The 12370-nt window shown below is 41.2% G+C and overlaps 1 annotated feature.

The window, feature by feature from the left end:
• Positions 6943-7120: a silencer, noted in NCBI's record as "fragment chr12:101842465-101842642 (GRCh37/hg19 assembly coordinates)". NCBI's record gives its function as "represses an EF-1alpha promoter that drives an FKBP-Casp9 reporter gene in an ReSE screen in HepG2 liver carcinoma cells and phorbol 12-myristate 13-acetate-treated (for megakaryocytic differentiation) K562 erythroleukemia cells {active_cell/tissue: HepG2 | K562(+PMA)}" and the evidence as "EXISTENCE:reporter gene assay evidence [ECO:0000049][PMID:32094911]".

Here is a 12370-nt window from a genome sequence, read left to right on the forward strand (position 1 = left end):
ATGTTGCTGCATTTTACAGGATTTTACTCTTATGTATGGCTGAATAATATTTCATTATATATGTACCATATTTTCTTTAACTATTTATCCATTGGTGGACACTCAGGCTGATTCCACATCTTGGCTATTGTAAATGGTGCTGCAATAAACATGGGAGTGCAGATAATTCTTCCATACTGTGATTTCCTTTCTTTTGGATATATACCCAGCAGTGGGATTGCTACATGATATGGTAGTTCTATTTTTAGTTTTTTGAGGAACTGCCATACTGTTCTGCATAGTGGTTGTATTAATTTACAATCCCACCAACAGTGCACAAGCATTTCCCTTTTTCCACATCCTCATCAGCATCCATTATTTTTTGTCTTTTTGGTTATAGCCATTTTAACTGGAATGAGATAATATCTCAGTTTGGTTTTGATTTGCATTTGTCTGATGATTAATGATGTTGAGCATTTTTTCACATATACTTGTAAGCCATTTGTCTTCTTTTTGAGAAACGTCTATTCAGATCTTTTGTTCATTTTAAAATCAGATTATCCTTTTTTTTGCTATTTGGTTGTTTGAGTTCCTTACATATTTTGGCTATTAAATATTTTCTCCCATTCTGTAAACTCTCTTTTCATTTTGTTGATTGTTTCCTTTGCTGTGCAGAAGCTTTTTAGCTTGATGTAATCCCATTTGTCTATTTTTGTTTTTGTTGCCTGTGCTTTTGAGGTCTTACCCAAAAAGTCTTTGCCCAGACCAATGTCCTGAAGCATTTCCCAATGTTTTCTTCTAGTAGTTGCATAGTTTCAGGTCTTAGATTTAAGTCTTTAATCCATTTTGATTTGATTCTTATATATGGTGAGAGATAGGGGTCTAGCTTCATTCTTCTGCATAGGGTTATCCTATGCAGTTTTCCCATCACCATTTATTAAAGAGGCTGTCCTTTCCCCAACGTATCTTCTTGGTGCCTCTGTCAAAAATGAGTTGACTGTAAATTTGCGGTTTTGTATCTGAGTTATCTATTGTGTTCTGTCGGTCTATGTGTCCGTTTTTATGCCAGTGATACATCCACTTGTCATTATTTCATTAATGCCTGTCTCCCCCACTAGACTATTCCTTCTTGAATGCAAGAACCCCGTATTGGCCAGGCGCAATGGCTCACATTAGTAATCCCAGCACTTTGGAAGGCCGAGGCAGGTGGATCACTTGAGATTAGGAGTTCGAGACCAGCCTGGCCAACATGGTGAAATCCCATCTCTACTAAAAGTATAAAAATTAGTCAGGCACGGTGGCACGCCCCTGTAGTCTCAGCTACTCAGGGGACTGAGGCAGGAGAATTGCTTGAACTCAGGAGGTGGAGGTTGCAGTGAGGTGAATCGAACCACTGCACTCCAGTCTAGGCTAGAGAGGGAGATTCTGTCTCGAAAAAACAAACAACAACAACAACAACAAAAACCCTGTCTAGTTTTCCTTGCTGTTTGACAGTACAGTGTCAGATATGTAGTCAGTGCTCAGTAAATATGTGTTGAATGAGTATCAGGAAACACAGAATAAACTATCGATAAACTATCAATAAACATACAATCAATAGTATACTTAGACTGGGCATGGTGGCTCACATCTGTAATCCCAGCACTTTGGGAGGCTGAGGTGGGAGGATCATTTGAGCCCAGGAGTTCAAGATCAGCCTAGGCAACATAGTAAGACCCCATCTCTACAAAAAGTTTGTTTATTTATTTACATTTTTTGCGATGGAGTTTTGCTTTCATTGCCCAGGCTGGAGTGCAGTGGCACAATCTTGGCTCACTGCAACCTCCACCTCCTGGGTTCAAGTGATTCTCCTGCTTCAGCCTCCCAAGTAGCTGGGACTACAGGCAAGCGCCACCACTCCCAGCTAATTTTGTATTTTTATTAGAGATGGAGTTTCACCATGTTGGCCAGGGTGGTCTCGAACTCCTGACCTCAAGTGATCCATCCACCTCGGCCTTCCAAAGTGCAGTGATTACAGGTGTGAGCCACCAAGCCCGGCCTTATTTATTTATTTTATTTTATTTTATTTTTTTGAGATGGAGTCTTGCTCTGTCACCCAGGCTGGCATGCAGTGGCGCAGGGTCTCAGCTCACTGCAACCTCTGCTTCCTCAAGTGATTCTCCTGCCTTAACCTTCCAAGTAGCTGGGATTACAGGCACCCACCACAATGCCCAGCTAATTTTGTATTTTTAGTAGAGGTGGGTTTTTGCGATGTTAGCCAGGCTGGTCTCAAACTCCTGACCTCAAGTGATCCGCCCGCCTCGGCCTCCCAAAGTGCTGAAATTACTGGTGCAAGCCATTGCGTCTGGTCCCCCAATTTATTATTTTTTTAAATTAACCAGGTGTGGTGGCACTCGCCTATAGTCCCAGCTACTCGTGAGGCTGAGGTGAGAGGATCATTTGAGCCCAGGAGGTTGAGGCTGCAGTGAGCTGTGATTGCACCACTGCACTACAGCCTGGACTATAAAGTGAGACCCCGACTCAAAAAAAAAAAAAAAGGAAAAAAGAAAAAGAAAAAGAAAAAAGAAAAACAACCATAAAAACTTGTATATTTAGTCTGTGGAATAATTGTCAAACTATCATTCACACCTTATATGGACATGCTACTTACATTAGTCCAGGATATGTTAGATTCTGCTGCAGTAAAATACAAACCTTGATATGTCTGTGGCTGGAGACAAAAAGATTTACCTTTTTTTTTTTTTTTTTTTTTTTTAGAGAGAGTCTCGCTCTGTTGCTCAGGCTGGAGTGTAATGGCACAATCTCAGCTCGCTGCAACCTCCACCTCCCGGGTTCGAGCGATTCTTCTGCCTCAGCCTCCTGAGTAGGTGGGATTATAGGCATGCGTCACCACGACCGGCTAATTTTTGTATTTTTAGTAGAGACGGGGTTTCACCGTGTTGGCCAGGCTCAACTCCTAACCTCGTGATCCGCCCACCTCAGCCTCTCAAAGTGCTGGGATTACAGGCGTGAGCCACCGCACCTGGCCAAGATTTACTTCTTATTCATTGAAATTGTATATGTGACAGGCAACCTATCTCCATCTTGTAGCTACTTCTCGTGGAGCATGCATCCTCCAAGGTCCCTGTAGCAGGGGAAGTTCCAGATAGAGGCAGCATATGGCACTTCCACCTATAGTTTTTTGGCCAGAACAAATCATATGGCCCTATCCCAGTGGCAAAAGAGATTGACAAAGTCTTAGGGAGAACAACCGTCTCTGCTTGATCTTGTGTGTATTAATTATAATAATAGGCCGGGCGCGGTGGCTCACGCCTGTAATCCCAGCACTTTGGGAGGCTGAGGCGGGTGGATCACGAGGTCAAGAGATGGAGATCATCCTGGCCAACATGGTGAAACCCCGTCTCTACTAAAAAACACAAAAAGTAGCTGGGCGTGGTGGCGCATGCCTGTAGTCCCAGCTACTCGGGAGGCTGAGGCAGGAGAATTGCTTGAACCTGGGAGGTGGAGGTTGCAGTGAGCCCAGATCACGCCACTGCACTCTAGCCTGGTGACAGAGTGAGACTCTGTCTCAAAAAAACAAAAACAAAAAGAAAAAAATTTGTAATAATAACAATCATGCCCCTAGTGGTCTAGTGGCTAGGATTAAAAAAAAAAAAATCTTGAATATTTATTGAGCTCTTACTTTGTGCCAGGCCACGTGCTGGGTGCTTTATTACATTGATTGCTTCATTTAACACTATTACAAGCAAATGAGCTGCAGGGACTCTCATTACAATCAGTTTCCAAATGAGGAAACTACAGAATTAGTTAATTGTTCAAGGTTACTCCTGATAAATGAGATCAGGGGTTTGAACCACTATGTGTCAGGCACTCTAGCCTGTGCCCTTAGCCACTCTGACTTAATATCGTCTATGTGTTTCAACAGTGGAGGCTTTTGAAGAACACCAGATTGGTTTTTAATAACACAAATAGAAGATAGGAAAGAATTATAAAATCCATTTGTTGTTGGGTATTGTGGTTCACGCCTGTAACCTTAGCACTTTGGGAGGCCCAGACAGGTGGACTGCTTGAGCTCAGGAGTTTGAGACCAGCCTGGGCAACATGGCAAAACCCCGTCTCTACCAAAAAATACAAAACTTAGCTGGGTGTGGTGGTGCATGTCTGTGGTCCCAGCTACTTGGAAGGCTGAGGTGGGAGAATGGCTTGAGCCTGGGAGGCGGAGGTTGGTTGCAGTGAGCCGAGATCACAACACTGCACTCCAACCTAGGTGACAGAGTGACAGAGTGAGACCCCATCTCAAAAAAAAAAAAAATCCATTTGTTTGTAGCTAACATCAATTTAGCTACCCAGCTCAAGAAGCGTCTGTCATTAACATCACCAATAGTGAAGAAAGCTGAGATCATATATGCCTCCTGATATAATCCACTGAGGACAAAACATTTCGTGTAGCATTTCTGCCCAAAGTGCATGATCAGAACCTAATCATGAGGAAACCCAAATTGAGGGACAGTCTATGAAAGAACTAGCCTGCAGTCTTCAAAATGTCAATGATGCCATGCGCCATGGCATGCAACTGTAGTCCTAACTATTTTGGAGGCTGAAGCAGGAGGATTGCTTCAGTCCAAGAGTTCAAGACCAGACTGAACAACACAGCAAGACCCTGTCTTATGAAACAAAAAAAAAAGTTACCTGTAATCCTAGCAATTTGAGAGGCCGAGGCAAGAGGACCACTTGAGATCAGGAGTTCCAGACCACCCTGGGCAACATGGCAAAACCCCATCTCTACAAAAAAATAAAAATAAATAAAAATAAAGAGTTGATGCTGTGAAGGACAAAGAAAGGCTGAGGAACTCCTCCAGATTTAAAGGGATGAAATGGAACCACCATAAAGTGCAATGTATGGTCTTGAATTGGATCCTGGCGAGAAGGGGGTCAAAAGTGCTATAAAGGACATATCCGGGGTAATTGGTGATATTCTAATATGAACATTATATTAGATAACAATATTATAACAATAACAAACTCCTCAAATGTGATCATGATACAGTAGTGATACATATCATCAAAATAGTGAGATATTTAGACATGAAGTCATAAACCTGGCTATTCCGAAGGTAGTGAGTGACCTCAATTGATTGTTCGCAGTCAAAGATTGAAATCCTTATTCTCCTCTTTTCCCCCTTTCACTACTGCACTTGACTAGTCTTAAAAAGATAAATAAACATAATAAATATGCTGGGCATGGTGGCTCACACATGTAATCCCCACATTTTGGGAGGCTGAGGTGGGAGGATCACTTGAGCCCAGGAGTTCAAGAACAGCCTGGAAAACATGGCAAAATCCCATCTCTACAAAAAATACAAAAATTAGCCAGGCATGGTGGCACACACCTGTAGTTCCAGCTACTCAGGGGACTGAGGCAAGAGGATCATTTGAGCCTGGGAGGTCGAGGCTGCAGTGAGCCAAGATCACACCACTACACTCCAGCCTGGGCCACAGAGCGAGACCCTGTCTTTAAAATAAGTACATAAATAAATAACATAAACTTTAGATACTTGATTTCAAGTTTCATAACTTTATAACTTCAGCATATTGCACAGGCAAAGAATAATGATGAAGAAATAAAATAATTTATATACCAGGAGAAATACTAATTGAAGCATAGATAGATTTTCAATTTCCCATGAATTTCTTTAATCCTGCCAGCCATTGTCATTTTTAGGAGAGGATGAAAAGCTTTCTTTTTTTAATTGTTAGAATTTTATTTATTTATTTTTACTTTTAGTATTTATTTATTTATTTATTTATTTTTGAGATGGAGTTTCAGTCTTTTTTCCCAGGCTGAGTGCAATGGCATGATCTCGGCTCACTGCAACCTCCACCTCCTGACTTCAAGATTGTCCTGCCTCAGCCTCCCAAGTAGCTGGGATTACAGGCATGTGCCACCATGCCCTGCTAATTTTGTATTTTTAGTAGAGACGGGGTTTCACCATGTTGGCCACGCTGGTCTCAAACTCCTGATCTCAGGTGATCCACCCGCCTCAGCCTCCCAAAGTGCTAGGATTATGGGCGTGAGCCACCTTGCCTGGCCTAATTTTTAGAATTTTAAAATTTTAAATTTTTATTTATTTATTTCATAAACACAGTAAATAACACTGTTTAGGTGTTCTTTGGTTTTTCTCAGTCATGTGTAGCATATAGGTATTGCACATATTTTGTTAAATTTATCCTTGAGTATTTCATTTTGTTGCTATCATGAATGATATTTTAATATATATATTCATTTATTTCAATAGCTTTTGTGGTACAAGCAGTTTCTGGTTACACTGATGAATTGTATAGTTGTAAAGTCTGAGATTTACGTATCACCCAAGTAGTATACATTGTACCCAATATGCAGTTTTTAAATCCATCATCCCTCTTCTACAACTCCGCCTTCTGAGTTTTCAAAGTCCATTATATCAATCTGTATGCCTTTGCATACCCATAGTTTAGCTCCCACTTATAAATGAGAATATGTAGTATTTGGTTTTCCATTCCTGAGTTACTTCACTTAGAATAATGGCCTCCAGCTCCATCCATGTTGCTGCAAAAGACATTATTCGGTTCTTTTTATGACTGAGTAGTATCCATGGTGTATATATATCACATTTTCTTTGTCCACTCATGGGTTGATGGGCACCAATCAACCAATTGGTTGGTTGCATATCTTTGCAATTGTGAACTGTGCAGCAATAAACATGCATGTGCAGGTGTCTTTTTGATATAATGACTTATTTTCCTTTGGGTAGATACCCAGTAGTGGGATTGCTGGATCAAATGGTAGATCTTTAAGAAATCTCCATACTAGACATTAAAAGATCAGTGGTTGTCAGGAGTTGTGGGCGGGGAGGGAGGGATGAATAGGTGGAACACAGAGGATTTTTCGGGCAGTGAAAATACTCTGTGTAATACCATAAAGATAGATTACATGTCATTATAAATTTGTCCAAACCCATAGAATGTACAACACTGAGAGTGAACTTTAATGTAAACCATGGACTCTGGGTAATTATGATGTGTCAATGTAGGTTTGTCAATTGTAACAAATGTACAGGTGGGGGATGTTGACAGTGGGGAGGCTGTGCATGTGGCGGGGCGGGTGGGGGGATTGGGGGGCGGGGTATATGAGAAATCTCTGTACCTTTCTCTCAATTTTTCTGTGAACCTAAAACTTGTAAAAATAAAGTCTTTAATAAAATTTAAAAAAAAAGAACTCTCCATACTGTTTCCATAGAGGTTGTACAAATTTACATTCTCACAAGCAATGTATAAGCACTCCCTTTTCACCACATCCACATCAAAATCTATTGTTTTTTGTCTTTTTAATAACGGCAATTCTGGGCCAGGTGCAGTGGCTCATGCCTGTAATCCCAGCACTTTGGGAGGCCTAGGTGTGTGGATCGCTTGTGTCCAGGAGTTCAAAACCAGCCTGGGCAACATGGCGAAACCCCATTTCTACAAAAAATACCAAAAAAAAAAAAAAAAAAAATTAGCAGGGCATGGTGGTGAATGCCTATGGTCCCAGCTACTCAAGAGGCTGAGGTGGGAGGATTGCTTCAACCCAGGAGGAGAGGTTGCAGTGAGCCAAGATTGTGGCACTACACTCCAACCTGGGTGATAGAGCGACACCTTATCTCAAAAAACAAAACAAAACAACGACAACAACAAAACAAAACTCAATTCTGGCTGGGGTAAGATGGTATTTCATTGTGGTTTTAATGTGCATTTCCCTGATGATTAGTGATATTCAGCATTTTTTCATATTTTTTTGGCCATTTGCAATATCTTTTTCTTTGAGAAGTGTCTATTCATGTCATTTGCCTACTTTTTGATGAGATAATTTTTTTTTTCTTGACGATTTGTTTGAGTTTTTTGTAGATTCTGGATATTACCTCTTCGTGGGATGCATAATTTGCAAATATTTTCTATCACTTTGTAGGTTGTCTGTTTACTCTGATGATTATTTCTTTTGCTGTGCAAGAAGCTTTTTAGTTTACTTCTGTCCCATTTATTTATTTTTGGTTTTGCTGCATTAGCTTTTGGGGTCTTAGTCATAAATTCTTTATGTAGGCCAATGTCCCAAACAGTTTTTCCTAGGTTTTTGACTAGAATTTTTATGGTTTCAGGTTTTAGATTTAAATCTTAAATTCATCTTAAGTTGACTTTTGTATATGGATCCCTATGGAGATAGGGATTCAGTTTCACTCTTCAGCAGGTGGCTATCCAGTTTTACCAGCACCACTTATTGAATATTGTTCTTTCCCCAATTTATGTTTTTGTATGTTTTGTTGAACACTAGGCAGTTGTAAGTATTTGGTCTTATCTCTGGATCCTCTATTCTGTTCCTTTGATCTATGTATCTACCTTTATACTAGTACCATGCTGTTTTGGTAACTATAGCCTTGTAGCATACTTTGAATTCAGGTAATGTGATGCCTTCAGATTTGCTCTTTTTGCTTAAGATTGCTTTGTCTACTTGAGCTCTTTTTTGGGTCCATATTAATTTTTGGATTTTTCTAATTCTGTGAAAAATGATGTTTGTATTTTAATAAGAATTGCACTTCTTGATAAAAACCCATCTCTATTAAAAATACACAAATTAGGCTGGATGCGGTGGCTCATGCCTGTAATCTCAGCACTCTGGGAGGCCAAAGTGGGCGGATCATGAGGTCAGGAGTTCGAGGCCAGCCTGGCCACATAGTGAAACCTCGTCTCTACTAAAAATAAAAATAAAAAATTAGCTGGGCATGGTGGTATGTGCCTGTAGTCCCAGCTACTTGGGAGGCTGAGGCAGGAGAATCGCTTGAACCTGGGAGGCGGAGGTTGTGGTGAGCCAAGATGGTGCCACTGCACTCCAGCCTGGGAAACAGAGCAAAACTCCATCTCAAAAAAAAAAAAAAAAAAATTAGCTGGGAGTGATGGTGGGTGCCTGTAATCCCAGTTACTCAGGAGGCTGAGATAGAAGAATCGCTTGAACCCAGGAGATGGAGGTTGCAGTGAGCCAATATGGTGCCGTTGCACTCCAGCCTGGGCAACAATAGTGAAACTCCATCTCAAAAAAAACAAAAAAACAAAAAAACAATTGCATTGAATCTGTGGATTGCTTTGCGAAATATGGTTATTTTCACAATGTTGATTCTTCTTTCAATTCATAAGAATAGGACATATCTCCATCTGTTTGTATCATCTATGATTTCTTTCAGCAGTGTTTTGTAGTTCTCCTTTTAGAGATTTTTTACCTCCTTGATTAAAAGAGATCCTTTCACCTCCTTGGTTAAGTATATTGCTAGGTGTTTGTTTTGTTTGTTTATTGTTTTTTTTTTGCAGCTATTTTACTTTTTTTTTTGAATCAACAAAATCAGAGATTTATTGAAAACGAAAAGTACACTCCACAGGGTGGGAGCGGGTCCTAGCAAGCAGCTCAGGAGCCACTATTATTATTGTTACTTTTTTTATAGAGACAGGGTCTCGGTATGTTGACCAGACTGGTCTCGAACTCTTGCCCTTTCACCTCCTTGGTTAAGTACATTCCTAGTTGTTTTTTTTTTTTTTTGGCAGCTATTTTATTTTATTTTTTTTGCAGCTATTTTATTATTTTTTTTTATAGAGATGGAGTCTTGCTATGTTAACCAGGCTGGTCTTGAACTCCTGGCCTCAAGTGATCCTCCTATCTCAGCCTCCCAAAGTGTGAGGATTACAGGTTTGAGCAACCACATCCTGCCTTTTGCAGCTATTTTTAAAGAGATTGAGTTCTTGATTTGATTTTTAGCTTTGTTGTTGTTGATGCATAGCAGTGATACTGATTTGTGTACATTGATTTTCTTTTTTTTTCTTTTTTCTTTTTTTTTCTTTTTTTTGGAGATGGAGTCTCTCTCTGTTGCCCAGGCTGGAGTGCAGTGGCACGATCTCAGCTCACTGCAACCTCCACCTCCCAGGTTCAAGCAATTCTCCTGCCTCAGCCTCCCGAGTAGCTGGGATCACAGGCATGCACAACCATACCTGGATAATTTTTGTATTTGTTTTTTTTAGTAGAGATGGGGTTTCACCATGTTGGCCAAGCTGGTCTGGAACTCCTGACCTCAGGCAATCCATCTGCCTCAGCCTCCCAAAGTGCTGGGATTACAAGTATGAGCCACTTCACCTGACGTGTACATTGATTTTGTACCCTGAGAGTTTACTGAATTCATTTATCAAATATAGGCATCTTTTGGAGGAGTCTTTAAGATTTTCTAGGTATATGATTGTATCATTGGCAAAAAGATAGTTTGACTTCCTTTTCCAATTCGGATGCCCTTTATTTTTTTTTCTTGCCTGATTGCTCTGTCTAAGAATTCCTATTTACTTATTTACTTTAGTTTTCAGAAAACCATAGGTAAAAAGCTAACTTTCAAATTTCTCTTTTTTTGCAGGCATGCTTCTTTTTTTTTTTTTTTTGAGATGGAGTCTCACTTTGTTGTCCAGGCTGGAGTGCAATGGCATGATCTCAGCTCACCACAACCTCCACTTCCTGGGTTCAGGCGATTCTCCTGCCTCAGCCACCTGGGCTGGGATTACCAGTGCCTGCCACCATGCCTGGCTAATTGTTGTACTTTTAGTAGAGATGGGGTTTCGTCATGTTGGCCAGGTTGGTCTCGAACTCCTGACCTCAGGTGATCCGCCCCCTTTGGCCTCCCAAAGTGCTGGGATTACAGGTGAGCCACCGCACCCTGCCACAGGCATGCTTCTTTTGCAGACCAATATAGAAAACATAGAATACGGCCACGTGTTGTGGCTCACGCCTGTAATCCTAACACTTTGGAAGCAGAGGCAGGTGGATCACCTGAGGTCAGGAGTTTGAGACCAGCCTGGCCAATGTGGTGAAACCCCATCTCTACTAAAAATACAAAAGTTAGCCGGGCGTGGTGGTGCATGCCTGTAGTCCCAGCTACTTGGGAGGCTGAGGCAGGAGAATCACTTGAACCCCGGAGGCAGAGGTTGCAGTGAGCAAAGATTGCACTGCTGCACTCCAGCCTGGGTGACTGAGTGAGACACTCAAAGAAAAAAAAAAGAAAGAAAGAAAGAAAAAGGCAATACAGAATAAATGATTTAATATATGTGAGATGCTTAAAACTTAAAACAATGCTAGACACATAGTACGTTCTCAATTAAGGATAGCTGATTTTTGAAAAGTGATAAAATATAAATATTAGCTGAGCAGAGTTGAAATTGACCCTCACTTAATCTATAGTTATCTCAGAACAGGTAAGGATCCATTGCAAAGTGTTCTAGGGACCTAGAACTTCATTCAAAGCGTTAGAAATGTTTACCTGGCAGGTCATGGAATTGGGAGACTGGTAGTTCTATGTTCAAATCACTAGGATTAGTAAACTTTTGAATGCTTTCGTTGTCAAGTTGGACTTTGTTCTGACATTCCTGGGTAGTCTAAGTTCCTTAGAACCAACCACAGCTGATTATTTTTCTTTTTTCCATTATTTTTTATGTTGTATTTTATTTTGAGACAAGGTCTTATTCTGTGGCCCAGGCTGGAGTGCAGTGATGCCATCTTGGCTCACTGCAACCTCCGCCTCCTGGGTTCAGGCGATTCTCTTGCCTCAGGCTCCAGAGTAGCTGGGATTACAGGTTCACGCCACCATGCCTGGCTAATTTTTGTATTTTTAGTAGAGATAGAATTTTGCCATGTTGGTCAGGCTGGTGTCGAACTCCTGGCCTCAAGTGAGCCACCTGCCTCGGCCTCCCAAAGTGCTGGAATGACAGGCATAAGCGACCACTCCCATCCTGTTTTATTTTTTAGAGGCAGGGTCTTGCTCTGTTGTCCATACTGAAGTGTGATGACACAATCATAGCTCACTGCAGCCTCAAACTCCTGGGTTCAAGCCATCCTCCTGCCTCAGCCTCCAGAGTTGCCGGGATTACAGGCACACACCACCACACCCAGTTCCAATAGCAGGCTATTATTATGTGCGCCCAGAAGGAAAGAACAATGGAGAAAAGCGTGAACTTTAGAAGGTCACTGTGCTTGGTTCCACCACCTCCTAGATTTTGACCTTGAGAATCTGTGTGACTTGATTTCCTTCATTGCATCATGGTACTGATACTACTAATTACCTGGGGGTAAAACTGTCGGGCAGATTAAAAAGAGCTAATACATCCAAAGTGCTTAGAACGGGAAACACCCAAGATATTCTAGATAATTGATAAATGCTAGCCCTCTTGTTATGGCTATGCTAAGTACGCCTGTGGTGACCAAGTCTTCCTGGTTAACCTGGGACTTTTTTTGTTGTTGTTTAGATGGAGTTTCACTCTTGTTTCCCAGACTGGAGTGCAAAGGCATGATTTCGGCTCACTGCAA

This window comes from Homo sapiens, chromosome 12 (genome assembly GCF_000001405.40).
Source record: "Homo sapiens chromosome 12, GRCh38.p14 Primary Assembly".
NCBI lineage: Eukaryota > Metazoa > Chordata > Mammalia > Primates > Hominidae > Homo > Homo sapiens.